The sequence below is a fragment of the Homo sapiens genome, chromosome 8, assembly GCF_000001405.40.
Source record: "Homo sapiens chromosome 8, GRCh38.p14 Primary Assembly".
Classification (NCBI taxonomy): domain Eukaryota; kingdom Metazoa; phylum Chordata; class Mammalia; order Primates; family Hominidae; genus Homo; species Homo sapiens.
The window spans coordinates 144167630-144195378 of record NC_000008.11 but is presented as its reverse complement, the minus strand read 5'-3'; the positions used below and the strand labels follow the sequence as shown (position 1 = coordinate 144195378).

The 27749-nt window shown below is 54.1% G+C and overlaps 1 protein-coding gene across 44 annotated transcripts in view, besides 8 other annotated features; it reads right to left on the bottom strand.

The window, feature by feature from the left end:
• MROH1 (maestro heat like repeat family member 1) overlaps positions 1–27749 on the bottom strand; it is a 113911-nt gene that overhangs the window by 66548 nt on the left and 19614 nt on the right. For 42 of the 44 annotated variants that reach the window (XM_047422170.1, NM_032450.3, XM_047422189.1 and 39 more), the window contains 7 exons: positions 26939–27084; positions 15793–15924; positions 15039–15201; positions 14856–14954; positions 4444–4595; positions 3524–3664; positions 2978–3070 (listed from right to left, as the gene is read on the bottom strand). In XM_047422170.1, the coding sequence (XP_047278126.1) occupies positions 2978–3070; positions 3524–3664; positions 4444–4595; positions 14856–14954; positions 15039–15201; positions 15793–15924; positions 26939–27084 (926 nt within the window). Of the gene's footprint in view, positions 1–2977; positions 3071–3523; positions 3665–4443; positions 4596–14855; positions 14955–15038; positions 15202–15792; positions 15925–19814; positions 19890–20241; positions 20535–26938; positions 27085–27749 lie in introns of those variants that run through there. The other 2 variants (XM_047422187.1, XM_047422188.1) reach the window with 2 other exon arrangements.
• Positions 10051–10100: a silencer, noted in NCBI's record as "silent region_19665". NCBI's record gives its function as "represses an Ori minimal core promoter by ATAC-STARR-seq in GM12878 lymphoblastoid cells {active_cell/tissue: GM12878}" and the evidence as "EXISTENCE:reporter gene assay evidence [ECO:0000049][PMID:35858748]".
• Positions 10446–10989: an enhancer, noted in NCBI's record as "H3K4me1 hESC enhancer chr8:145239293-145239836 (GRCh37/hg19 assembly coordinates)". NCBI's record gives its function as "activates a minimal SCP1, AML or CMV promoter by ChIP-STARR-seq in naive H9 embryonic stem cells {active_cell/tissue: H9 hESC(naive)}" and the evidence as "EXISTENCE:reporter gene assay evidence [ECO:0000049][PMID:30033119]".
• Positions 13142–13314: a silencer, noted in NCBI's record as "fragment chr8:145236968-145237140 (GRCh37/hg19 assembly coordinates)". NCBI's record gives its function as "represses an EF-1alpha promoter that drives an FKBP-Casp9 reporter gene in an ReSE screen in both phorbol 12-myristate 13-acetate-treated (for megakaryocytic differentiation) and untreated K562 erythroleukemia cells {active_cell/tissue: K562 | K562(+PMA)}" and the evidence as "EXISTENCE:reporter gene assay evidence [ECO:0000049][PMID:32094911]".
• Positions 14120–14837: an enhancer, noted in NCBI's record as "H3K27ac-H3K4me1 hESC enhancer chr8:145235445-145236162 (GRCh37/hg19 assembly coordinates)". NCBI's record gives its function as "activates a minimal SCP1, AML or CMV promoter by ChIP-STARR-seq in naive H9 embryonic stem cells {active_cell/tissue: H9 hESC(naive)}" and the evidence as "EXISTENCE:reporter gene assay evidence [ECO:0000049][PMID:30033119]".
• Positions 16377–17190: an enhancer, noted in NCBI's record as "H3K4me1 hESC enhancer chr8:145233092-145233905 (GRCh37/hg19 assembly coordinates)". NCBI's record gives its function as "activates a minimal SCP1, AML or CMV promoter by ChIP-STARR-seq in naive H9 embryonic stem cells {active_cell/tissue: H9 hESC(naive)}" and the evidence as "EXISTENCE:reporter gene assay evidence [ECO:0000049][PMID:30033119]".
• Positions 24068–24569: an enhancer, noted in NCBI's record as "H3K4me1 hESC enhancer chr8:145225713-145226214 (GRCh37/hg19 assembly coordinates)". NCBI's record gives its function as "activates a minimal SCP1, AML or CMV promoter by ChIP-STARR-seq in naive H9 embryonic stem cells {active_cell/tissue: H9 hESC(naive)}" and the evidence as "EXISTENCE:reporter gene assay evidence [ECO:0000049][PMID:30033119]".
• Positions 26436–26935: an enhancer, noted in NCBI's record as "H3K4me1 hESC enhancer chr8:145223347-145223846 (GRCh37/hg19 assembly coordinates)". NCBI's record gives its function as "activates a minimal SCP1, AML or CMV promoter by ChIP-STARR-seq in naive H9 embryonic stem cells {active_cell/tissue: H9 hESC(naive)}" and the evidence as "EXISTENCE:reporter gene assay evidence [ECO:0000049][PMID:30033119]".
• Positions 26936–27437: an enhancer, noted in NCBI's record as "H3K4me1 hESC enhancer chr8:145222845-145223346 (GRCh37/hg19 assembly coordinates)". NCBI's record gives its function as "activates a minimal SCP1, AML or CMV promoter by ChIP-STARR-seq in naive H9 embryonic stem cells {active_cell/tissue: H9 hESC(naive)}" and the evidence as "EXISTENCE:reporter gene assay evidence [ECO:0000049][PMID:30033119]".

Below are 27749 nucleotides of genomic sequence, written 5' to 3'. Positions count from 1 at the left end.
AGGCACCCACTATCATGCCCAGCTAATTTTTTTGCATTTTTAGTAAAGACAGGGTTTCACCGTGTTATCGAGGATGGTCTCGATCTCCTGACCTCGTGATCTGCCTGCCTTGGCCTCCCAAAGTGCTGGGATTACAGGCATGAGCCATGGCACTCGGCCTTTTTTTTTTTTTTTTTTTTTTTTAAAGACACAGTCTCGCACTGTCACCCAGGCTGGAATGCACTGGCGTGATCACAGCTCACTGCAGCCTCAACCTCCTGGGCTCAAGCGATCCTCCCACCTCAGCCTCTCAAGTAGCTGGAACCACAGGCATGCGCCATGACACCTGGCTGTTAATAAGTTTCTGTTGCTATTGTAGATAGTGTTTTCATATACTTTCTAGCTGGTCAGTGCTGGTGTAGAAAAATGTTCTTGGCTTTTGTAGGTTGGTCTTGTAACTGGCAAATTTGCAGAACTTTTTTTTTCTTTTTCGAGACAAGGTCTTGCTCTGTCACCCAGGCTGGAGTACAGTGGCATGATCATGGCTCACTGCAGCCTCAACTTCCTGGGCTCCAGTGATCCTCCAACCTCAGCCTCCTGAATAGCTGGGATTACAGATCTGTGCCACTGTACTCAGCTACATTTTTTCTGTAGAGATGGGGTCTCCCTATGTTGCCCAGGTTGGTCTCGAATTCCTGGGCTCAAGCAGTTCTTCCTCCTCAGCCTCCCAAAGTGCTGGGATTACAGATGTGAGCCACCACGCCTTGCAGGAACTTCTGATTAGTCCTAATAGCTTGGCCAGAAAGGTGGACAGGTGATGAATAATGACCATCTTCCCTTCCCTCCTGGTTCTTTTGTTTCCCTATAGAACCAGCAGAGGACCCGATCCGCATTGAGAGGCAGGTCCTTCCTGTTATTGACCTTACAGGGAATTGCCTAACACTTCCCATCAGTTATGATGCAGACTGAGGGTTCGGGTATCCATACTTTGTTAACTTAGGGAAGTTCCTTTCCAATCTTAGTTGTTAAGAATTTTAGGCCAGGCACAGTGGCTCACGCCTGTAATCCCAATACTTTGGGAGGCTGAAGCAGGGGGATCACTTGAGGTCAGGAGTTCGTGACCAGCCTGGCCAACATGGTGAAACCCCATCTCTATTAAAAATACAAAAATTAGCCAGGCGTGGTGGTGCGTGCCTGTAACCACAGCTACTTGGGAGGCTGAGGCAAGAGAATTGCTTAAACCCAGGAGGCGGAGGTTGCAGTGAGCCAAGATCGCACCATTGCACTCCAGCCTGGGCAACAAGAGCGAAACTCCATCTCAGGGGAAAAGAAAAAATCATCAAAAGTTTTTTCTGCATTGATTGAACTCAGACACTATTTTTCTTTAGTCTATTACTGTGATGAAGTGCACTGACAGCTCCTGCATGCTGGATAGGCCTTGCGATGTGAGCTAAGCCCTCCCGCATAAGGTGTTTTGAAAAGCACGGTCTTGGCTGGGCTCCGTGGCTCATGCCTGTAATCCCAACACTTTGGGAGGCCGAGGCAGGTGGATCACTTGAGGTCAGGAGTTCGAGATCAGCCTGGCCAACATGGTGAAACCCCATCTCTACTAAAAATACAAAAAACTAGCCAGGTGTGGCGGTGGGCACCTGTAATCCCAGCTACTCAGGAGGCTGAGGCAGGAGATCGCTTGTACCCGAGAGGCAGAGGTTGCAGTGAGCCGAGATCATGCCACAGCACTCCAGCCAGGGCATCAAGAGCGAAACTCCATCTCAAAATAAATAAATAATAAATAAATAAATGAATAAATAATAAATAAAAGTATGGTCTTGGGTTCAGTAACCTGCTACTTTATGCAAAACCTCACGTCTATGCTCATCGTTACACATCTGCATTTCCTTATACGGCTCTGACTGGGATTTGACCAAGGCCTCACAGAATGAAAGAGGTAGCTCTGGATCTTTTCCTATTTCCAAATGTACTTGTACTGGACAGGAATTAATTGTTCCTCAAAAGTTTGGAAGAACTCAGTCGTGAAACCATTTGGGTCCCAGGCTTGTTTTAAGGAAGAAAGGTCTTAGAATATTATTTCCGTTGCTTTATTGGCTTATTCAATTCTCTGTTGCTTTTCGTACCAATGTTGACATTTTAATCTTTCTAGGAACCTAACCATTTCATACAGTTTTAACAGTTTGTTACCATGTAACTGTTCACAGCACTTACATTATGTTTACTAGCTCTGTGGCTGCCGTCCCCTCTTCCCCTTTGTTTCTGGGATGCAGCCAGGACCATCCAGGCGGTGGAGAGTGGGGCCCAGCTGGAGTGGGCCAGGTGAGGGGCAGAGCCAAGCAGTAAACCCACCTCCACACTTCTTTTCAGAAAGTTTCCTTGCAGACTTCACCACACCACCCTCTCTAGCTCCCTGCCCCTCTCCTCTCTCATCCAGAAAGTCCCATGGACAGATGACCCCCAGTGCCAAGGTCACGGGTGACCCGGCACCTGCATCCCTCAGTCGTTCTCAGCCTCATTCACCCGACCTGGGGAGGGGTCCCAGCTGCCCCAGCTGCTCAGCCTCCTCCCCACATCACTTCCTCTCCAGCAGGGCCTTCAAGACCCCCGTCCTGCAGCCCAGGGCCTCTCCTCTGCTCCTCTGAGCTCAGTCCCCAGAAACTCAGGGCAGTCTCCCCCAGCTGGCACTTCAGCTGCGCTGACCTTTCTCTGGGACCACCTGTACTGGGCCTGCACTGGGCCTGGGCACCCACTCCTGCCACCTCCATCCTGGGGGCTGCTATGTCACCTGCATGTGCCACTACTGGGCAGGGCAAGAGCATCGCCACATCGCTAAGAAGTCACCCGAGTGACCTTCAGGGAATGCCCAGTCCTCAGCCCCACGTGGCTGAGCCATCCACCCCAACTTGCTTTCTGCACCCCTTGTCCAGCAACTTCCCACGGAAGGGTGTGCAGAACCTGGACCCGCCCCCTGACGCCCGCCTCCTACCTGGGAGTGCAGTGCAGCCAAGAGGGCATCCAGCTGGGTCTCCAGTGTGCGGCTGCCCACACTCACAGCTGCCTCGAGGATCTGGCCCAGGCTCTGCTCCGGGTAGGGAGAAGAGGCCGTCAGTCCTACCTCCAGCCGCCCGAACTGACTAAGGTCAATCAGAGCCTCCCAGTTGGGCCACAGGAAGACATGGGCCAGGAGGACATGGGCCCCACCTTGGGGCTCAAATGAGGAGGCCTTTCGTCTACCTCTAGAACTCAGAGCCAGGGAGGAGGGTGGGGAGGGCCCAGGAAGGGGGCTCCCTAAGCCACAGGTGCCATGGACCAAGAGGCCCAGGTTCCTGGCACCGTCCAGGGCAGAGCGATGGGAAAACTAAGCTGGTCCCCACGAGGGCCCTGTCCTTCACAGCCCACCACTGAGCCTTAGCAGAGAACTCAGGGCCACCCCCACCCACCACTGAGCCCTAGCCGAGGACTCACGGCCACCCCCGGGGAGTCTGATTGGAGGGGTCCTCGGGGACAGTAGACCTGCCCTGCCTGCAGATACCTTGGACAAGTAGAAGGTCTCTGCGTGCTTCTTGTAGAGGGCGAGAATCCCAGGGAGGAGCTTGGGCAGCTGCTCTTCCAGCCTCTCACTGGGCAGCAGATGGCTCATAGGCCCCAGAGCCTCCACCACGGCAAGACGGAGCTGAGAGGGGACAGTGGGCGGGAAGCTTACGCTGCTCAGTCAACACCGACTGCTCAGAGCATGTCCAGCAAGCACCCGTGACGGACGTGAACGAACACTGGGCTACCAGTGGGTGCTACGGGGGCTGGGACGTGAGCCTAGCACCCAGAGGTCAGCTGTGGGGAGACCACAGCAAGCCAGATGCTGGCCAGGCCCAGGGGGTTTGTAGGAGATGCTCAGTGCCCCGCCAGCAGCACTGGGCCTCTGGGCAGAAGGAAAAACCCACAGTGACTAGGCCCCTCTGGCAGAAGTCACAAGTATGGGGACTGCAGAGGGGGCCCTGTGCAGGTGTGGCAGCCTAAAGGTGGCCAGGCACGGTGGCTCACACCTGTAATCCCAGAGCTTTGGGAGGCCAAGGCGGGTGGATCGCCTGAGGTCAGGAGTTCGAGACCAGCCTGGCCAACATGGCGAAACCTCATCTCTACTAAAAATACAAAAATAAGCCGGGAGTGGTGGCAGGCGCCTGTAATCCCACCTACTCAGGAGGCTGAGGCATGAGAATCGCTTGAAGCAGAGAGGCGGAGGCTGCAGTGAGCCAAGGTCATGCCACTGCACTCCAGCCTGGGTGACAGAGTGAGACTCTGTCTCAAAAAAATAAATAAAGGTGAGCCACCTCCCATTGGGCACCTCTGCTTGCCAATGCAACACCACCACCCTCTGATCAATTTGCCACGGGCAGGGAATGTGGGGAGGAGAGAGCCCTGGCATCAGGCGTGGACTGATGCAGCCACGGGGCATACCTTGGCTTCTCGACTCTGCAGCCACTGATGGAAGAGAACATCGTAGGCGCTGAAGATGTCGGTGGCAAAGGCGTCCTTCCTGACCGTGGGGTCTGGGGCTCGGTCCAGGTTGGCTAGGTACTCCAGGGCACCCTCGCTGAAGCGCTGCAGAGCTACAAAACCGGCCAGTGGTAAGTGGCTGCAGGCCATGGGTTTGTGACGATCCTCAGCACCTATGTCTGCCTCCTGCCCCTTCCAGAAATCCCACGGCCTGCAAGATGCCCTCCCTAGAACACCAGCCAAGCACACAACTCCAGGACTACACAGGATGAAAAGTGTCCCTCCAAATTCATGGCCTTATTGGAAATAGGGTTTTTGCAGATGTGACTTTTTTTGAGACAGAGTCTTGCTCGGTCTGTCACTCAGGCTGGTGTGTTGTGACACAGTCTTGCTGTGTCACCCAGGCTGGAATGCAGTGGCTTGATCTCAGCTCATTACAACCTTTGCCTCCCAGGTTCAAGCAATTCTCCTGCCTTAGCCTCCTGACTAGCTGGAACTACAGGGGTGTACCATCATACTTGGCTAATTTTTAGAAGAGACAGGGTTTCACCATGTTGGCCAGGCTGGTTTCAAACTGCTGACCTCAAGTGATCTGCCCACCTTGGCCTCCCAAAGTGCTGAGATTACAGGCATCAGCCACCGCGCCTGGCCAGATGTGACTGTTAAAATGGGGTCATAGCAAAGTAGGGTGGGCTGTAACTCCAACATGACAACATCCTTATAAGAAGAGATGCAGAGGCAGGAGGAAGATGGCCATGTGACATGGAGGCACAGACTGGGGCGAGGCAGCCTCAGGCCAAGGACACCCAGAATCCATGGCCCCACCAGAAGCTGGGGAGCCTGAAATGAATTCTGTCTCTGGGCTCCCAAGAAGGAACCAATCCTGCCAACATCTTGAGCTTGGACTTCCAGTCTCCAAAACTGTGAGAAAATACATTTCTGTTGTTTGAAGCCACCTAATTTGCACTTGGTGCTTGTCACCAAAGAAAACTGGTGCAAGTACCAACCTCCTCCCCAAAATGCCCTCTGCCCACAAGTTCCTGCCCACTCCAGTCTGCCACAGAGACAAGAGGAGCAGTGCCACGCCCACCCATCCTCACAGACAGACTTGTGCCACACATTCTGCCCAAGGCTGCCGTGCTGGGCACAGTGTGGGCGGGAAGAGCCACAGGGAGAACAATGGCAGGGCGGAGGGGCACCAGGATGCCAGGGTCAGCATGAGGCCCTCCCACGGGTGGGCGGCTCCTGACAGTGTGCCAGTGACTGTGGATGTGACTCAGCGGTGGCCTTGGGCTGACCCTGAGGGCAGAGCTGGGAGCGGGCAGAGCTGGGAGCGGGCAGAGGCTGGGCAGGTGGCCACCCAGGCTTCGAGTGGTATGGACATCTGGGTGGAGAGTCAGAAAACACTGGCTGTAGGGCCTGGAGCCCAGGACATGGGCCGAACTCAGGTGATGTGCAAGTGGTCAGTGGGGCTGGGCCCCGGGTGAAGGGGGAACATGGGGGCACAGGGAGATAAACTGAGGCCAGCACCTTTCACACAGCCCTGCTGAGGACCAGGCGGAGACGCAGAAACTGGAGGAGGAAACACAAAGGGACCATGAGCTTCAGGGCAAAGTCCAGAGCCCTGAAAGGATGCACCCACCGCACGGGGAGGGGCTGCACAAGGCACAAGACCAAGGGGGTGCTGCTGGGACCACCTCAGCTGCCCCAATCTTGAGTTCTTCTGATGGGCCCACTCTCTCCAGAGTGGCTGCCAAGTGCCAATCCCAATAGCTCGCTGCTACAGGCCCTGCTCCAAAGCACAATCTAAACTTGGTATTTTCAAACAATTACTTTTAATTTTCTCCAAACTGCTTAATGTGAGATAACACCGCTTTGCAGATAGTGGGCTAATCACCTTTCTGTGTGTATGTTGGCTGGCTGTGTGGTTCTGGCCTTTTCTTGCCCCATTTTTCTGAGCTGTAGTCTCCCCTTCTGATTTCCTAGCAGTTCTTCCCACATCTGCTTTAAAAGGCAGCTCAGAGGTGCAGGCTGGCCTAGTCCTGGCTCTCCCACTCCCCAGGTGTATGGCCTGGGACGAGTTATTCAGCCTCTTTGTGCCTCAGTTTCCTCACTTATAAAATGAGGCAGTGGCCGGACGCAGTGGCTCATGCCTGTAATCCCAGAACTTTGGGAGGCTGAGGCGGGTGAATCATGAGGTCAGGAGTTCGAGACCATCCTGGGCAACATGTTGACACCCCGTCTGTACTAAAAATACAAAAAATTAGCTGGGTGTGGTGGCACGCCCCTGTAATCCCAGCTACTTGGGAGGCTGAAGCAGGAGAATCACTCGAATCCGGGAGGCAGAGGTTGCAGTGAGCTGAGATCACGCCATGCACTCCAGCCTGGGCGACAGTGTGAGATTGTCTCAAAAAAAAAAAAAAAAAAAAAAAAAAAAAAAAAAAAAATTGGGCAGTGGTAGCACCTGACCCAGGGCTGCTGTGAGGCCCCCCTGGGCTGAAGCACATGTGGTGCAGAGGGCCAGGTTGGGGTGTGAGTGCCAGTTCCCACTGGCCTTAGGCCCCATCCACTGCTGCTCCCAGGGCCATGGGTGAGCCTTTCCACTTCTTATAAAGTAGAGAAAAGTATTTATAGTATCTTCTTTGGTAATTCTTTTTCTTGGTGATGTTCATCTGCAGTTCTGTACATTTTTTCAGATCTTCTGATGAACAAATTCCTTTAATTTGTCATGTCAAACTTGTTAATATTTTCCTTTGTGATTTATACTTTTTTGTATCTTAAGAAATCACTTTAAACCCAGCCTGTAAGAATCAAAGGGTGCAGGTGCTCCCGACAGTCCTGCGAGGCTCGCCGGTCCCTGGCTTTCCATGCTTGGGCAACTGTTTCACACCCTTTTCTCGCCACAAACCCCTCCTCACAATGGGCTGACAACCTCATGGAAGAGGACCCTGAGACCACCGGAACCCGCACCTATGCTCTGTGCTTCCTACACCCCCACCTGGCTCCCGTGTAGCCATCGGTCCCCATAAAGCCTCCCTCTGACACAGACCCTGCAGCAACCCTGCAAGAGCAAAGGCCCTGAGAAGCGCCACCCAGACAAAAAATCTCTACCTGTACCCCTCGTCCCCTTCATGGGGCCACTGGCCACCTTCTAGCACTGCCTTCAGGGTCACCAGCACCTCCAGGCGCAAACCCAATGGTTGACTCAGGCCCTGCGGGACTCTCATCAGAAGCTCACCAGAATCTGTGATGATCGATTCACAGAGGAGCTGGCACCTCTGAGTCTAGTACACAGGAATGCAGATAAGCTTCAGCTGCTGATCCTCCAACAGCATCCTGCTAAATTCTTGTCACCTCTAATAATTTGTGGGAATGTGTTGGGATTTTATATAAACAATTTTATTAAGTGAAGACCAAAAACCTTTGGTTTCTTCCATTCTTTGTCTGTGTGGGTGATTGTAGGATTTTGGTTTTTTTTCTTTTTTTTAAGACAGGGTCTCGGTCTGTCACTCAGGCTGGAGTGTAGTGACACCAACTTAGCTCACTGCAGCCTCGACCTCCTGGGCTCAAGTGATCCTCCCACCTCAGCCTCTCAAGTAGCTAGGACTACAGGTGCGTGACACTGTACCTGGCTAATTTTATATTTTTTTAGAAACAGAGGTCTCACTATGATGCCCAGATTGGTGTCAAACTCCTGGGTTCAAGCGATCCAACCACCTCGGCCTCCCAAAGTGCTGGGATTACAGGCGTAGGCCACCATGCCCGGCCTGAGTTTTGTTTTGTTTTGTTTTTTTTTTTTTGGAGACAGTCTCACTCTGTCACTGAGGCTGGAATGCAGTGGCGTGATCTTGGCTCACTGCAACCTCTGACTCCCAGGTTCAAGCAATTCTCCTGCCTCAGCCTCCTGAGTAGCTGGGACTATAGGCACACACTGCCACACCCGGCTAATTTAATTTTTTGTATTTTAGTTGAGACGGGGTTTCACCGTGTTGCCCAGGCTGGTCTCAAACTCCTGAGCTCAGGCAATCCGCCTGCCTCAGCCTCCCAAAGTGCTAGGATTATAGGCGTGAGCCACCGCGCCCGGCCTAGCCTGAGTTTTTAATAAGAATAAACAAGGGCAGTGGCCATGTGGTTTCCCTTCTTATGTCGATCAGTGTGAGGGCCCACCCTCCCAATGTGGAGCTGGCCTCTCACTCCTGGGGTGACCCCCCCGTCAGGACAGAGCCAGCCCCTATGCCAGGCAATATGGATTTTGTTCCTAGGGTCAGCGATCACAGCGGGGTATGTGAGGTGATAGGAATCTGCTTCGTTCCAAGTTTTGGGATATCAAGGGTCACTGTATCCCAGCAAAGGCACCTGAAACCATCTCTGACTTGGGTTCAGCAGCAGGGGCATGGACGGGGAGGGCAGACCCTGAGTGAGGCTGGTCCCTGGATCTCTTTTGTGGTGATGCTCAGGTCACAAAAATAATTTGGGGCCGGGCGCAGTGGCTCATGCCTGTAATCCCAGCACTTTGGGAGGCCGAGGTGGACAGATCACCTGAGGTCAGGAGTTCGAGACCAGCCTGGCCAACATGGGGAAACCCCGTCTCTACTAAAAATACAAAAATTAGCTGGGTGTGGTGGCGGGCACCTCTGGTCGCAGCTACTCTGGGAGCTGAGGTGGGAGGATCACTTCAGCCTGGGAGGCAAGAGGTTGCAGTGAGCCAAGATCACACCACTGCACTCCAGCCTGGGTGACAGAGTGAGACCCTGTCTCCAAAAAAAAAAAAAAAAATTGGAAACTGTCCTTTTTGCTTCATTTCCCCGGGGTGACACAGCCCTGAGGACTGGGAGAGAGCCCACTGCGGAGCCCACGGAGCACTGCCTGGGAAGTGGCACTCTCCTGGAGCACTCGCTGCTGGGCTTTCAGAGGTGGCTGCACTGGGCACGCGGTCCCCTCGGCGGCCCTTGCTGGTCCCTTGTGGTCCCCACGTCGCCCCTCGCCGCCCCCCCGCCACCCCTCACCATCCCCCCACGGTCCCTGCACTGCCCCTCACCGCCCCCCCGTGGTTCCCACACTGCCCCTCACGTCCCCTCGAGGTCCCTGCGCCGCCCCTCCCCCTCCCCCCACGGTCCCCGCACTGCCCCTCACGTCCCCTCGAGGTCCCCGCGCCGCCCCTCACCGTCCCCCCGCCGCCCCTCCCCCTCCCCCCACGGTCCCCGCACTGCCCCTCACGTCCCCTCGAGGTCCCTGCGCCGCCCCTCACCGTCCCCCCCCCCGGCCCTCACCGCCCCCCGCGGTCCCCGCACTGCCTCTCACATCCCCTCAAGGCCCCTGCGCCGCCCCTCACCGCCCCTCTCACGGTCCCCATGCCACCCCTCACATCTCCCCGCGGTCCCCGCGCCACCCCTCGCTGTCCTCACATCTATTCACCTCCTGTTTACCACTTGGCTTGTTTCTCTCTTTTCTCTTGATGAGGCAGCAGCTTAAGTATTTAATTCACTTATTTCAAAGAACTAGGTATAAAACATAACGTTTTGCCAACTGCTTATTTTCTAAAGCATTAGTTTCTGTGTTTTCTGCCTTGCTCAGGTCTGGGTAGGTGAGACCACAGTAACGACAAAACTTGCAACGGCCTGACACATACAGTGAGATGGGAGGGCTCAGCTCCCACTTCCCACCCTGCAGAAACCACAGAGGCCAGGGAGGGTCAGGCGGCACAGCACGAGGATTCCAGTGGAACCGGCAGGCTGCCTGCAGGAGCGACACACTGCACAGAAATCCTGGGACTGCAACACTGCAGTGGTTTCCCTAAAGCTACAAGACACTTCCCTCCCCGACAGAGAAAAGGGCAAGAGGCTGCCTGCCTCCCCCTCCTCCTCAGCTCCTTTCTTGCTGGCGCGGGGATCCCCTGCACACCTGTCACTCACCAGCAGCACCCAGGGCCTCCACACCCTCTCCAGTGCAGGGGGTGGGGACTCCTGCTCTGCCCCAGCCCCATAGCGTCCTTCTGCCCTGGGTGGAGGTGACAGGGCTCCAGGGAACAGGTCTGGCACTGGCTGTGAAAGTCAGCAGCTCCTGGCGGCCCCTCCACAGCATCTCCCTTTGATGATGCCGGTGAGCCTGGGCCTCTTCTCACCTCTTCTGGACTCGTGCTCTGTAGCTGGGGGTGCTCGGCCAGCTCACCTGACGCCTGCCCCGCACCCCCTTCTCTCTGCCAGCTCAGGGCTGCCCTCCGGGTTGTCCCCAGACCCCTGTCCAGCTGGTGCACTCTCTTCAGTGTCTGCAACCGGCTGCCACACCCACCTCCTTACTCTTTAATGGAAATGGTTACAGTTTTGTTTCTAGACTGTATTTGGTTCTCTTTTCACACTGGCTCTGTCCTTGTAGGACCCTGTCCTTTCTCCCTTTCGCCTCTTTACCTTGCTATTTTTATCCTGTATCTCATCAATCCAAATTATGTGACTTTCTGCTCTAATGCTCCTTTTTTTGTGTGCTGACGTGTGTGCTTTGTGACTGTAACTGATATTGCTGGTCCTGGGTCCGTGGAGAGCTGCTGGCCCCACACCAGAGCCGAGACCCTGCGCTCCAGGGAAGCGCTGCTTCCCACGGCCACACCCCCCGGCCAGAGCCACTGCCATGCAGCCTGACTGGGACGCAAACATTCAGTAGGACACTGGTCACCCCACCCAGGACACTTCAGCCCGGCCCATTTACACGGCTAACGTCTCAGCTTAAGGGCTTCCCAGTCCAACACAAAGAACAACTTTGAACCCTACAACTACATCAGGACAGACCATGGTTACAAATTCTCAGGAGAGAGGATTTAAAAGAAATTCTAAAAGAAAACAGACTACCTCCCAGGGTGCACAGTGGAAGGTTCCTCATCAGTCACTTTTTGCTGAGGAGGGGCCTTGAAGGGTCTGGTACAGGTGGGCTCTGACCCAGTGCAAAGAAAGGCCTTGTCTGGCCAGGCGCGGTGGTCCATGCCTGTAATCCCAGCACTTTGGGAGGCCGAGGCGGGCGGATCACGAGGTCAGGAGATCCAGACCATCCTGGCTAACATGGTGAAACCCCGTCTCCACTAAAAATACAAAAAATTAGCCAGGCGTGGTGGTGGGCGCCTGTAGTCCCAGCTACTCGGAGAGGCTGAGGCAGGCGAATGGCGTGAACCTGGGAGGCAGAGCTTGCAGTGAGCCGAGATCGCGCCACTGCACTCCAGCCTGGGCAACAGAGCGAGACTCCATCTCAAAAAAAAAGAAAAAAGAAAAAAGAAGAAGAAAGGCCTTGTCTCCCATGTGAAATCAAGGCAGGCAGGTGCCCAGGGGCCACTGGAGAGCTCTAACCTCTCACCTCCCCTCTTGACCTCCGTGGGCCTAGGTTTCTCCTTCTGATTGATCAGAAGGATGCTGGTCAACTCATCAGCATTCCAGGTATTCGGCAGTGGGAAGTTTTTTCAGAATAACAGACCACCATAATGCCACAAGCAGAAGCCCACCCCTGTTGTGTTATTAGGATTTTTTTTTTTTTTTTTGAGACAGAGTCTTGCTCTGTCACCCAGGCTGGAGTTCAGTAGCTTGATCTTGGTTCACTGCAGCCTCGACTTCCCAGGGTCAAGCAATCCTCCTGCCTCAGCCTTCCAAGGAGCTGGAATACAGGCATGTGCTACCATACCTGGCAAATTTTTAAAAATATTTTTTCTAACGATGGGGTCTCACCATGCTGCCCAGCCTGGTTTCGAATTCCTGGGCTCAAGTGATCCTCCCATTTTGGCCTCCCAAAGTACTGGGATTACAGGCGTAAGCTACCATGCCCAGCTAGTTTTGATTTGTTTGTTTTGAGACAGAGTCTCACTCTGTCACCCGGGCTGGAGTACAGTGGTGCAATCTTGGCTCACTGCAGCCTCCGCCTCCGAGGTTCAAGCAATCCTCCTGTCTCATCCACAGTATCAGGGATTACAGACATGCGCCACCACACCCGGCTAATTTTTTTGTATTTTTAGTAGAGACGGGGTTTTGCCATGTTGGCCAGACTGGTCTTGAACTCCTGACCTCAAGTGATCAGCCCGCTTCGGCTTTCCAAAGTGCTGGGATTACAGGCATGAGCCACCGCACCCGGCCACTAGGGCATGCCTTTGCGTCATCTCTTGACCTCCCATCTCTGTCCATTCTTTCTAGGGTGCCTCTGATTGGAATGCTGGCTTCAGGGTTCAGCCTGCTAGTTCATTCTTCTCTTTCTCTCCTACTTTCCATATTTTTGCCTTTTTCCTCTATTTTCTGGAAATTTCCACAACTTTCTCTTCCAATTCTTCTATTATTTTTCCCATTTCTATTATGGCATCTTTAATTCACAGAAGGTCAGTTTTATTCTCTCAATGTGGCTTCTCCATGGTGACACCTCTTGTCCCGTGAATGCATGATGCCCACTTATTTTCCTGAGGATATTAATCAGAGATTTTCTTTCTCTGTTATTTTCTTCTCCCTGAACCATCTACATCTCCAATTAGTGTCTGTTTCTTTTGTTGCCACCTTTCCTACTGGAGGGGTTCCTTGGCCGGGAGGAATTACTGGATGCCTGCCCTGCTGGACGGCGTGGCCAGGCCAGCCGTGCCTCCACCACTGGGAGTCTTCCCTGAGGCTCCTCGCCTCCTGGCTGCAGTGCCCTGAGGGCACTCCTGTCCTTGGCACACTGCCTGTCCTGGCTGGACCTGCACCCTCCCGCAGTGGACGCAGGCCTGCCACCGCCCCCACCACTAGGCCTCACCCGGTTGATACGGCTTCCTCTGGCCCCAGGCTGCTCCAGCCAGCAGGACCACCAACCCCTCCAGATGCAAACAGGGAACGTTCCATTTGTGGTGGGGAGCACACGTCCCACACGAGGAGGTCCCATGGAATCTTCGCTGGCTGAACCCATGTGTTTGACACATGGAGGAAAATGCCAGCATGGTAGGGCCCAGAGGAGCCGCAGGTCCCCTATGAAGGGGAAGGTAAGCAAGAGGTGTCAGAACTGCAAGTCCGTTTCTGCTTAGAGCCTCAGCAGCTGCAGGGATCAGGCCACTTCCCAGAGGAGTGGCGGGAAGGGGCGATGTGCGTGCAGCACAGAGACAGGCGCCCCAGCGGCCCCGTTCTGTCTCCGCCCTGCAGCCTGGATGGCACGTCCTGCGCCCCAGGCACCTTAGCTGAGTCCACACCCACACCCACTTCCACTCTCTGCTCCTTCACACCTGGCTCAGTATGCAGCTGCCCCCATCCTGTCACCAATCCCATTTTTAGCCAAAACTGGGTCACATGGAGTTACTATCCCTTCTACCCAAGGGGCCCTGCCCTCATCCACAGGTGAGAAAGAGCCTGTGAAGGAGTGCCCCAAAGATGAAGGCATTTATCAAAGAGCAGGGCCAGGAGAGACGGAGCGCAAGGGCTGAGGAGAGGGTGGCAGGAGCCCTGTGATCTGAACCCAAAGTCACCAGGAGCAGAGCAGGTGGGTCCAAATGCTCCAAACCAACCCTGCAGTCTACAGAGCCCAGCCCAGCCCTGTAACCACTCCCTCCATGCTTCGAAAACATGCCCTGCCCGGGCCCCACCAGGCCCCTCCCCCATCACCGGCCCCTCCCCCATCACCGGGCCCCTCCCCCATCACTGGGTCCTCCCACACCTGCTGCCTGGAACTAACGGCCCCCGGCCCCAGAGGGCTGGCTCTTTACGAGGGCTGGTCCCCTGGGCACGAGGGTCCTGTTCTCCTCCCGGCCAGCTACCAGGGCTGGCCGTCTTCCTGACATGGGACACCGGGAGCACGAGGCCGTGGGCTGTGAGGGCACTAAGGGTAGCTCAGGATCTCTAATCTCCACACCCCCTTCTAACAGAAATGCCCTCCAATCCCACCAACCACTCCCCCACTGTCAGTGGCAGGGGAAACCAAGGTCCAGGCCCATGACATGCCCGCAGTCCCCTGCCAGGCACACAGAGGGCTGTGGGCAGTGCTGCCAGGAATGGGGCTCCTGGCAGAGGGTGGGGGTGAATGAATGTGCCCCCATCCCCTGGGTCCTGGGATGCCCAGAGAGCGGACACTTTTCTAGCCTGGAGTGGGGAGGAAAACAAAAAGTCATGGCTTCGAGGAAGTCTCTTCCTACCCCCCAGGCACGTCCAGCCCTCAGTGGACCCACAATGTAAGGTGGGGGGCTCTCCAGGAGTAGAGAGAAACAAGAGACAGAGGCTGTGTCAGCCCCACATGGGCCCCCCAACCAGCCAGCAGCCTCAGCCAGGGGGCCCCTCCCTCCAACAGCCCCCCTTCCTGCAGCCTAAAGTGCCCACCTGTCCCCCCTAAAACAGGCATGCCCGGGAACAGCCCCCCACAAAGGGGCACTTGAGACAGAAGGTGACGAGGCCGCCTCTTACCGGAGCAGAAGGCCACGCGCACCGTGTCCTGCTTGGCCACGCCCAGCACGGGCAGCAGGGAGCTCAGGACGGATGGCAGGAAGGGGACTACGCCGAACGCTGTGAGAGAGGACACCGTCAAAGGCCTCCGCCAAGGCTTCCAGCGCCCCGTGCTCCTCCTGGGGCAGGCCGCGCGTCACCTACCGTTGGCCACCGAGAGGCTGGCGAGGGTGTGCAGCACGGCGCAGTGTGGCAGGGTCCCAGGGTGCAGCCTGCGCAGCAGCTCCTCCATCACCTTGCTGATGAACTGTCTTCCCACGGCCACCAGGACGCCACTCGCCGCCTGCTGCCAGTCCCAGACCAGGTCCTGAACCCAAAACACCGGCAGGTAGACCAAAAGGCAAGACCAAGACATTCTGCCCTCAGTCGCTGCCAGCCTTGGACAAGCGCACGCTGTTTTCAGCGTCCCCAGAAAGTGCAGGTCAGGGAAGGTGGCGGGCACAGCCTCCTCTGCTGAGGGGCTGCTGAGGAGACCCCACACGCAGGAGCAGCAGAGCCCTGGTGAGAGGTGAGGGGCTGCTGAGGAGACCCCACACGCAGGAGCAGCAGAGCCCTGGTGAGAGGGGGCTGCACTCAGTGCCCTGAGAGTTAGGCCCACCAGAGCCCTGCACCAACCCCAATGCCGGGCACAGCCTTTGGCCCCAGCTGCACGCACACCACGGTCCTGCGTGTGCTGAGTTCTGGCAACTTGCTCTCTGCTTCAGTTGCTGCCTCTGAAAATCACAGGGGACCACCCCCCACCCCTGCAGGGTGATGCATGAGACCGAAGGGCATCTGCCAGCCCAAGGCAGCCAAACACCACCCTATACTCTCAAGGCTGCTGGGTAGAAAGGCCAAGAAGCAGCTTCCCTTCCCAAGCTAGGCCTGAGTCTGCGAGGCCAGAGGGCCTGCTGAATACCTTCGTCTTGGTCATCTCGCTGGAGGCCAGGAGGATGATGGTGCTGGCTGTGTCCTTGTCCAGCTCACTGGCGCGACTGCTCAGGACCCTCTCCATGGCCCTCAGGACCGCTGCTCGGTATGGGTGTGCCAGCTGCGGAGAGACACCGTCCAGGTCGGTCCCAGGTGAGCCCCACACCCAGACACTCTGAGTGCCTGTCACTGTCTCTACAAGATGAAACCGCACAAATCTCTCTGCCTCAAGTGCAGGAGGGGAGGGGTACACCTGATCACTCCTCACGCCCTAAAAGCCGGCCTGCAAGCCTCACACTCACGGCCCATCTCCAGAAGGGTGGAGCGTTATCCTGCGCCAGACAACCAACATGCAGAGGGCGAGGCGGGGGGCTTCTCTCCTCCAGGGGTAGTCAGTAGGGTCTCCCAGTCACATGACACTCCCAGGACCCTTCCACCTCCTTGCCCTGCCCTCCCCTGTCAGAGGAGGAGCACACTCCTGTCCCCAGCTCAGTGGTCATGGCCTCAGTCTCTGCCGCTAGGCTAGTGCTTGTATCCAACGGCCCCTCCCCAAGGCTGCTAAGGAAAAACGCCACCCACCACACCACCTTCTGCCACGCCCCCAAGCCACCTCCACCTCCCAGGTTAACCCTCCGCAGAGTCCAACCACCTGCCTTCATCCTCCCCCTAAGCAGCTCTCCTGTCGACCACCACCTCCACTGTAAATCCAAAGAGCACACACTGTCCTTGCCTCAACTGGGGACACACCAAGGACTGGGACTGAAAGCTGGGACCCGCGGGGGCACACAGCAGAGTAGGCTACTGCCCAACCCAGGAAAGGAACCTGGGGCACCCAGCCACCCTGTGTTGACAGCCCCTCCCCAATGATGCACCCACCATGGCCCCTCCCTCCACCACCCTGAGAGCAGCCTGCACCAGGCAACATGGCCGGCACAGGGCGGCCCAGAGGCCCACAGGCTCTGTCGTCCATTCTCACATGGCTATAAAGAGGTGACCTGCAAAAACCCGAACAGGCGCGGTGGCTCACGCCTGTAATCTCAACACTTAGGGAGGCCGAGGCGGGCGGATCACCTGATGTCAGGGGTTCAAGACCAGCCTGGCCAACATGGTGAAACCCTGTCTCTACTAAAAAAAAAAAAGTACAGGCCGTGCGTGGTGGCTCACGCCTGTAATCTCAACACTTAGGGAGGCTGAGGCGGGCGGATCACCTGATGTCAGGGGTTCGAGACCAGCCTGGCCAATATGGTGAAACCCCGTCTCTACTAAAAATACAAAAATTAGCCGTGTGTGGTGGCGCACACCTGTAGTCCCAGCTACTCGGGAGGCTGAGGCAGAAGAATCGCTTGAACCCGGGAGGCAGAGGTTGCAGAGCCGAGATCGCGCCACTGCACTCCAGCCTGGGCCACGGAGCAAGACTCTGTCTCAAAAAAAAAACACAAAAAACAAAAATTACCCAGTCACAGTGGCCGGCACCTGTAATCCCAGCTACTTGGGAGGCTGAGGCAGGAGAAAAGCTTGAACCCGGGAGGTGGAGGTTGCAGTGAGCCGAGATCACACCACTCCAGCCTGGGCGACAGAGCAAGACTGTCTCAAAGAAAAAAAAAAAAAGAAGAAGAAATACCGGAGACTGGGTAACTTACAAAGAAAAAAGGTCTAATTAGCTCAAAGTTGCAGGCTGTACAGGAAGCATGGCTGGGGAGGCCTCAGGAAAACACAATCGTGGTGGAAAATGAAGCAGAAGCAGGCACATCTCACATAGCCTGAGCAGGAGGAAGACAGAGGAGGAGGAAGAGAAGAAGCCACATGCTTTCAAACAACCAGATCTCCTGAGAACTCTATCATGAGAACAGCATCAAAGGGGGAAGTCGCCCCCAGGATCCAGTCACCTCCCACCAGGCCCCACCTCCAGCACTGGGGATTACATTTCAACATGAGATTTGGGTGGGGACACAGATTCAAACCAGATCAGACACTGATGGTCACAGGGTCTGCACTCCCCTCATCCACTCTGACAGCTATGGCCGCCACGGCAGGTGGAGGTGGGCCCACATAGGAGAAGTGCTACCGGCTCAGTGAAGACAGCCACGCAGGACATTTGAAGGAAAGCGTGACAAGGTCGTTTGGAGGAGAAACAATAGTAGGAAGGATTGGGAGCTTCGTGAAAGTCTTGGTTTTGTTCAGAAACTATTTGAAGTTGACACCCAGCCACTTGACACGCACTTGGCCCTGGCATGCAGCAGTGCCAGTGACGGGGCAGCGCCAGGCAGCTCCCAGGCCCACATACACGTGCCGCACGTGGCTGTGGCATACATGTTCAGAATCACGCAACTATCTCAAACGTTGAGAGTCCCAGCATCAGTAGCAGCAGACAGACTTGCTCACTGCCACTCTGCGAAACCAGTTACAAACTGTCATGGTTTAGCCCCAGGCCCACGAGTGGGAGTGATTTTTGTTCTTCAAAATAGCCAATGTAGGTCACAAGCCTCAGCACGGAACACTAAGTTCACGTGGAACCTGCCAATTCTCCAGGGGAAGAACTTCAGCTGGGGTTGATTTTCACTGTTAGATTTCCCATCCGTGAGTGTTGGCGCCGCAGTGAGGCAAGAGTGAGGCAGGTGGGGAATCAGTCTCACTGTACCAGCCACCTCCACCCACCGGCTACACATGACTCCCTTTCCCTTAAGGCTTCTGCAGGCAGACTGTATTTAAATTCTGTATTAGAGAATCATTTCTTTTTTTTTTTTTTTTGAGACAGAGTCTCACTCGTCGCGCAGGCTGGAGTGCAGTGGCACAATCTCAACTCACTGCAACCTCCGCCTTCCGAGTTCAAGTGATTCTCCTGCCTTAGCCTCCCGAGTAGCTGGGACTACAGGTGTGCACCACCATGCCTGGCTAATTTTTGTATTTTTAGTAGAGACAGGGTTTCACTGTGTTGGCCAGGCTCCTGACCTTGTGATCCGCTTGCCTCAGCCTCCCAAAGTGCTGAGATTATAGGCATGAGCCATCATACCGGGCCAAATTTCTTTTTTTTTTTTTTTTCTGAGTCAGGGTCTCACTCCATCACCCAGGCTAGAGTGCAGTTGTGCAATCATAACTCACTGCACCTTGAACTTGCAGGCTCAAGAGACCCTCCTGCCACAACCTCTCAAGTAGCTGGGACTACAGGCACACACCACCACACTCAGCTAATTTTTTTTTTTTTTGAGATGCAGTCTCGCTCTGTCACCCAGGCTGGAGTGCTGTGGCACAATCTCAGCTCACTGCAACCTCTGCATCCCAGGTTCAAGTGATGATCATGCCTCAGCCTCCCGAGTACCTGGGACTACAGGTATGCACCACCATTCCTGGCTAATTTTTTTTTTTGTATTTTCAGTAGAAATGAGGTTTCGCCACGTTGGCCAGGCAGGCTGGTCTTGAACTCCTGGCCTCAAGTTATCCACCCGCCTCTGCCTCCCAAAGTTTTGGGATTACAGGCATGAGCCGCTGCACCCAGCCCTCGATAGTTATTTTTATTTATTTATTTTTTTGAGACAGAGTCTCGCCCTGTCACCCAGGTTGGAGTGCAGTGTTATGATCTCGGCTCACTGCAACCTCCGCCTCCCAGGTTCAAGCAATTCTTCTGCCTCAGTCTCCTGAGCAGCTGGAACTACAGGCGCGTGCCACCACGCCTGGATAATTTTTGTATTTTTAGTAGAGACAGGGTTTCACCATGTTGGCCAGGTTGGTCTCAAACTCCTGACCTCGTGATCTGCCCGCCTCGGCCTCCCAAAGTGCTGGGATTACAGGCGTGAGCCACCGAGCCCGGCATATTTTATTTTTTTAGAGATGGGGTCTGTGTTGCCCAGGCTGGTCTCAAACCCCTGGCCTCAAGCGATCCTCTTGTCTCAGGCTCCCAAAGTGCTGGGATTACAGGCGTGTGCCCTGGCACCCAGCCTATTGTTTCTGACTTTCATAATCTAGACACTCTTCCCAGGTAGGAGACAATGTAGTCCTTGAGAAGCCCATCCCCACCTGGGACGTCGCAGAGCTGAGGCTCTAAGTGGGTGGATTAACTGCCGGGGCAGCACGGCCGGTATAGTGCAGGAACTGGGGAGGAAAGAATTGAAAATCAGTGTAAATTGGTCTGGTTCTATCTAGTCAGAGCATGGCTGAGCTGGGAGCAGCAGCTTGGGTACAGCAAGTGGGCATTTATACCCATCCGACCAGACCTGTTGCTGGGAGGGGGGGAGGGGCAGCTCAGGTGTAGCAGGGCATTTATACCCATCCGACTGGACCCGTTGCTGGGAGGGGCAGCTTGGGTGCAGCAGGGCATTTATACCCATCCGACCGGACCCGCTGCTGGGAGGGGCAGCTTGGGTGCAGCAGGGCATTTATACCCACTCGACCAGATCCGCTGCTGGGAGGAGAAGCTCAGGTGCAGCAGGGCATTAATACCCACCTGACCAGACCCACAGCTGCCATCTCCTCTGGTTCTTGATCTTGGAAACACATCTCAAGTTGCATTATGCTTCCATCTTTAGCTACTAATTCTCTTCATGTATATGAGGAAGTTTGAGGGAAATCTTTGCTTTTTTCCAGAGGAAAACAATAGGGAGAAGTGAGTCCTGGGACTGAGTTCTCCAGATTCCACTCACAACTGTGGCATCTCCATCTGTCACTCTGTGTCCTGGTGATTGAGTGCTCAGTGCAGGGTGACAGGCTGACTCAGCAAGTCTGCAATGGGTTATGCAACTGGAAAACATAGGAACCCATGAAAAAGGCATAGGAATCTACATTTTACAAAAAATGGATAGGGCCAGCCACAGTGGCTCACACCTGTAACCCCAGCACTTTGGGAGGCCAAGGTGGGAGGATCACTTGGGCCTAGGAGTTCAAGACCAGCCTGGATAACATAGTAAGGCCCTGTTTCTACAAAAAATAAAAACAATTAGCCAGGTGTGGTGGTGCGCCTGTGGTCCCAGCTACTTCGGAGGCTGAAGCAGGAGGATCACTTGTGTACGGGAGATCAAGGCTGCAGTAAGCCAAAATTGCACCGCTGCACTCCAGCCTAGGCAACAGAGGGAGTCCATCCCTGAATTTAAAAAAAAAAAAAAAAAGGTTATGTATTACTTGTGTTCCAGGGTTGGTTTGAATTGTTTGATTTTATGGTATAAGTACCATACTTTTGGCCGGGCATGGTGGTTCATGCCTGTAATCCCCATGATAGTGACAGGAGGCAGCCAAATGCCTAGGTAGAGAGGGGTGGGTCCCCTGAGAAACCCCACCTCCAAGCCAAAAACAGTTTAAAGCCTGAAAGCCAAGCTACAAGTAAAATCCTGGGACCAGATTGAGAGCCTGTCTTCCTGTCTGGTGTGCTTTCCTCTGATTGATCCCCACCCTTCACCTATTTTACATATACCTACCCTTTTCTAATTGGCTTTCTATACCATCACGCCCACCTTTGAGTGGTGTCTTCACTTTAACCTCTTTTGCAGACTTACAAACCAATCAGCATACACTCCTCATTCTGTGCCTATAAAGACCCCAGACTCAGTTGGCAGAGGGGAGGTGGCCTAACTTGGGCGAAGAGACAGCCTGACTTTGGGGAACATGACCTGTCCTTCCTGTCCCCTCTCCAGCTCCCCTCTCCCCCAAGAGCCATTTTCATCGCTCAATAAAATTCTTCTCTGCCCTCCTCACCCTTCAATGTCCACTGTATCCTCATTCTTCTTGGGTGTGGTGTAAGAGCTCAGGAACCGCCAAACACAGTTACAAGCTATAATGTAGGCAAGTTGAGGCACGCCAGCATGGCTGGGCAAGGCCCAGGTGGGGCATCGCTAGGGCTTGCAAAGGGACCAAGAAGAAGAATCCTATGGCTGGGCGGAGTGGCTCAGGCCTGTCATCCCAGCACTTTGGGAGGCCGAGGTGGGTGGATCAGGTCAGGAGTTTGAGACCAGCCTGACCAACATGGTGAAACCCCACCTGTACTAAAAATACAAAAAAATGAGACAGGTGTGGTGGCGTGCACCTGTAATCCCAGCTACTCAGGAGGCTGAGGCAGGAGAACTGCTTGAACCCAGGAGGCAGAGGTTGCAGCGAGCCGGTTTGCGCCATTGTACTCCAGCCCAGCCTGGGCAAGAGTGAGACTCTGTCTCAAAAAAAAAAAAATAAAATAAAAATAAAATAAATAAATAAATAAAAAAGAAGAATCCTACATCACCAGCACTTTGGGAAGCCAAGGCAGGTGGATTGCTTGAGGTCAGGAGTTCATGACCAACCTGGCCAACATGGCGAAACCCAATCTCTACTAAAACTACAAAAAAAAAATTAGCCAGGAGTGGTGGCACGTGCCTGTAGTCCCAGCTACTTGTGAGGCTGAGGCACAAGAATTGCTTGACCCAGGAGGTAGAGGTTGCAGTGAGCTGAGATCACACCACTGCACTCAAGCCTGGGCAACAGAGCGAGACTCTGCCTCAGGAAAAAAAAAAAAAAAAAAAAGTACCATAACTTTCACAGCCCTGCCTCCATTCACAGTTGGAAAAGGCCCACTTAGGAAAGTTCTTCAAGGAAAGCAAACACATAATAAGCCCCTTTAAATAAAAATACTGTTGACAAAAAAGCTAAACTCTAAAATACCTAACAAGGTTTATTCTGTGCCACTATGACTGACCACGGCCCAGGGAACATCTGAGAAAGTACACCCAAGATGGTCAGGTTAGTTTGGTTTTATACATTTTAGGGGACAGAATTACAGGCAAAGACGTAAATCAATACATGGAAGGTGTACACTAGTTCAGCCTAGAAATGTGGGACATCTCAGGGAGTGCTTATAGGGCGTAGGTGGATTCAGAGATTTTCTGACTGACAACTGGTTAAAAGAGTTAGACTGGCCGGGCACGGTGGCTCGCACCTGTAATCCCAGCACCTTGGGAGGCCAAGGTGGGCAGATCACAAGGTCAGGAGTTCGAGACCTGCCTGACCAACACGGTGAAACCCGGTCTCTACTAAAAATACAAAAATTAGCTGGTGTGGTGGCACGCGTCTGTAATCCCAGCTACTCAGGAGGCTGAGGCAGGAGAATCGCTTGAACCCAGGAGGTGGAGGTTGCAGTGAGCCGAGATCGCGCCATTGCCCTCCAGCTTGGGCGACAGAGCAAGACTCCCTCTCGGGGGAAAAAAAAAAAGAAAAAAAAAAAGTTAAATGTTGCCTAAGGACTTGAAGTCAGCAGACAGAAACGCCTGAATTAAAGGGGCTTGTGAAAGCCAAGGTTCTTGTTACGTAGATGAAGCCTCCAGATAGCAGCCTTCAGAGATAATAGATAGTAAATGTCTCTTTTCAGACCTTAAAGGTGTCAGACTCTTAGTTAAATCTCTTCTGGATCAGAAAAAGACCTGGAAACGGAAGGAGATTCTCCACAGATGCAATTTTCCTCCACAAAATATGGTTTTGCAGGGCCATTTCAAAATATGTCAAGAATAGATTTTGGGGTAAAATACTTTTATTTCCTTCAGGGCCCACTATCTATCACGTGATGCTATGCCAGAGTCCAGTCTGGAATTTTATTGCTACAAGGAGTCTGTTTTGTCAGACTTACGATCTCTGTTTTAACCTAATGTTCGCTGGTTGTCCAAACTCCAAAAGGGAGCAGGTATAACGAGGTATGTCCAATCTCCTTTCTGTCTGTCGTAGCCTGGAAGGTAGTTTTCCACGTCGCTCCCGGGTCTCCTTGGACAAGAGGGTGTTAGAGTAGGCCACTAGGCAGACATGAACAGGGCAGGAGAGGCCCCCAACTAGGAATGTCAGGCGGTCATCAGGTGATGGTCAGGCAGTTGTTTAGGTGTCTCTCTAAAATAATAATTGGTCACTGCCAGCACCAGGGAAAGACAGTCTCACAACAGATGGAAAACACCTAAAGCTTCTGCATGGCGGAATAAGGAAAAGAAAGAAAACACCTAAGGCTGGTGACAGCAGCTTCCTTAGAGGATCTCAGGAGTTGGGTGAATGGGCTCCAGCAAGCACACTGAGGTGAAATGGTGGTGTTTAACCGGTATATGGCCCTCCTCTAGAAACACTTGGCTGGTAAGGGAAGAATGCCTCAAGTGAGCATGAGCGCAACTGAGCACAAACCCTCAAAAGGAGCTTCCGGTAGCGGAACCCACGCAGGTGCCTGGAGGTGGTTCCCAGGAGGGCCCGGGAGCTCCGCGCCCCTCCCCATTCCTGCCCAAGCGTCTCCTCCACCTGCTGGGCACCCGCACCCTTCGTCACAGCCTGTGTCATAAATGGGTAAACGCAGGCCACTCTGTCCCTGCATTCTGTGAGCCACTGCTGCAATTCATCAAGCCTGAGGAGGGGGTCGTGAAAACCCTGATTCATGGCAGGTCGGTCAGAAGCACAGGCCACACCTGGGGCTTGCGACTGGCATCAGAAGCAGGGCTGTTGTGTGGGACTGAGCCCTCCACCTGCCAGATCTGACGCGACCTCCAGGTGGATGGTGTTGGGATTGAATTGAGGACACCCAGCTGGTGTCCACTGCACAACTGACTGCTGTTTACTGGTGGAGAGAAATCCCCCCCATTTGGTCACAGAAATCTTCTGTGTTGATTGTTGCGTGGTGTAAGAGCAGAGAAAACAATGTGAGTTTGAGTTTTTCCACTCACAGAATTTGAAAATCCAGTTTTACTATTCTTGCTTCTCTTCCCCAAATCCCGTCCCTCCCCATGGCCTGACGGCCCCTGAGGAGTCTGTCTGTCCTGTGCAGAACCCTGGCTGACGTGTACAAGACTGGATGTGTCTAAAACCGTGAGGCCCAGCACCCCTTGGTGGCACAGGTGGCATGCTACAAAGTCATGGGCCTCTGGGTTCATAAAAACAGAACCACAGATACAGACGCCAGACAGGAGCTGAAACCTGTAAAGCTCCAGGAGTACCCCAGGACACTGTGCTGACATCTGAGGCCTGGAGGGGGATGTGGCATTGCTTTTCCCTATTGTTCCACATCTTTCTGGAGAGACTCAGTGGGCTTTGAACCATGCCTGCTATCTAGGCAAGACGCAATCAAGCGAAGTGCAAATGCGGTGAGATCCACAAACAAATGGCAGAAACTGGAGGCTGTGACCCAAACCTCCTGGAGGCGGTCTGCAGGAGGAGACGACAGAAGAGGACTAGGGCAGGGAAAGTCCCTGGGAAGGGTCACAGCCCACAGGGTCAGTGCTTCCAGCTCAGCATGTGTATAATATGTAAATATGCAACTGTGAAGGCAGACTTTTTAAAAATTCAGTTAAAAAAATGTAAAGGTTAGAAAAGGGGTAAAATCAGAAACAAAGTAGGACAAGCATGGAGTGGCTGGGGCTCAGAGGAGGACACCCCAGAACGGAGGCTCAGGAGCAAAGTCCTTCTCAGATCTGCTCTGCCCTCCTCTCTCTCCTCCTCATTCTCCCCCAAGGCAGCCATAAAACCTGTAAATATTGGCCAGGTAGTGGCTCACGCCTGTAATCCCAGCACTCTGGGAGGCCGAGGCTGGCAGATCACTTGAGGTCAGGAGTTCGAGACCAACATGGGCAACATGGTGAAACCCCATCTCTACTAAAACACAAAAATTAGCCGGGCATGGTGGCAGGCACCTGTAATCCCAGCTACTTGGGAGGCTGAGGCAGGAGAATTGCTTGAACTCAGGAGGTGGAGGTTGCAGTGAGCCGAGATCGTGCCACTGCACTCCAGCCTGGGCGACAGAGCCAAATTCCATCTCAAAAAACATATATAAATAAATAATAAAAATAAAAATACAAAATTAGCCGTGTGTGGTGGTGCACACCTGTAGTCCCAGCTACTCAGGAGGCTGAGACAGGAGAATCGCTTGAACCCGGGAGGTGGAGGTTGCAGTGAGCCGAGATCACGCCACTGCACTCCAGCCTGGGTGACAGAGCCAAATTCCATCTCAAAAAACATATATAAATAAATAATAAAAATAAAAATACAAAATTAGCCGTGTGTGGTGGTGCACACCTGTAGTCCCAGCTACTCAGGAGGCTGAGACAGGAGAATCGCTTGAACCCGGGAGGTGGACGTTGCAGTGAGCCGAGATGGTCCACTGCACTCCAGCCCGGGCAACAGAGTGAGACTCCATCTCAAAAAAAAAAAATAACAATAATGAATAAATAAATTTATTAAAAATAAAAATATAAATAAACAGCTAAGACAGCTGACAGAGGAAGAAAGGAGAGACCCTGCCCCAGGAAGTGCCGCCAGGCCACGGCAGTGGGCAGGTATTTTCATGGAACTGGGTCATCTTCCCCAGGAGATGGTAGCTGATAAGAAATACACTGTATAGAGGTCCCTTTTTACATACCAAAATGTTAAATAAAACAAAAAGAATAATGGCCTTTTGATACTGCAAAAGCCTCTTCCCCTTCCCAGAACAGCCCAAACCACACACACAGAGAAAAACTAGAAAGCGTGCATAACAGTTTCAAACAATGCAGTGCTAACGCTGTCAGCGGTGACAGAGAACCACTGAACCAAGATCAGGCGAGGCCGAAATCCTGGGAGGTGAGAGCCAGCCGGGCCACGTCTGTCCTAGGGTTCGGATCACTGATTTGGCATCCCTGTGAGGCTGAAGAGAGAGTTCCCAAGAGGCTCTTGTAGCTCTCCTGAGTGGGAGGACAGGACATTCCAGCACAGCAAGGCAAGGCCCTGGCCCCTCCTGGGCAGCCCCTCCCTGAGGGTGCAGGAAGACCAGCAGCGCCGGGCCCTTGGGGACTCTCTGAGCACTTATCAGTGTTTCTGGCCCCTTGGGTTGATGAGATTCTCTCAGAAACAACCTTCTGTCCCTCAGGCAGGGACCATGGTCTGTCCCTCAGGCACTAGGCACACAGCCCGGCCATTAGGCCTCCACTTAGTGAGTAAAAGGGGCAGCAAAGAGCCTCGACCAGGAGGGTTGAACAGTGCCGTGGTGGGGGGATGTGGCCATACCCCACTCATGATGAGACAAGGCAGGTTACCCACCCTGACATAGGCACGTGTGGAGGGGGTTAGACATGTGGCCACCCCTGCGTAACACCCGACCCACTGCTCCTGGCTGGACTGTCTCTTCCCAAACCAAGTAAGCCCCAACCGACCATGGCCCTGACAACATCATCCCCACCAAGGAGCACACATACCTTGTCATGCTGCCGCAGATACTCCTCGCAGGCACGGAGCGTCTCCACCGGCCGCGCCTCCCCGAGGGAGCACAGGGCACTGCAGACCTGCTCCTGCACCAGGGGGTCCTTATCGGTGATGGCGTCCAGCAGGGTGGAGGCCAGCTCTGCAGCGACAAAGCCTGGTTAGCATGCTCAGGCCCAAGCGCCCTCTCCTATCACACCTCGGCTGCCACTCCTGCAGTGGACACACCTGCAGCCTCTGAGGATCACAGACACAGAGCAGGAGAGGGCACAGCTGCTTTCTCTCTTGTATAACCTCCCTCCACCTGAGCTGCTGCAGGGGTCAGGTGCACTGCGGTGACAGGCTGTGGAGCTGTAGGGCTCACATTCCAGCTGCCCCTGAGGAGCTGCCTGGCCAGGACACACTATTTAGCCCATCAGGGTTGAGCGACACAGAGGACATAGCCTGCCTCCCACACAGGCAGGCATGAGGCTGTTCTGGTCCTGATCACATGGCCTGAGCTTCCTTGAAGACATTGGCTCACTCACCAGCCAGACCCTTCAGGAAGGCTCCCCGAGGGTCTATGCCCAGGCAGCCTGGGGTTCCCCATGGCCCCATTGCCCACACATAGCCCTTGACAGGCAGGTGCTGGGCAGAGGGTCCAAGACCCCAGCAGTGAGAAATACATGAAGGAATAAAGACATAGCCTCATCCTATGGCTCTCAGTCCCCATGGACCACAGCTGAATCAAGAAAATCATTGAATAAATGTAGTGCTCTACAGGCAAGGCCAGGTGGTTCCCTGTACATGGGAAAGGGCAGGCCAAGC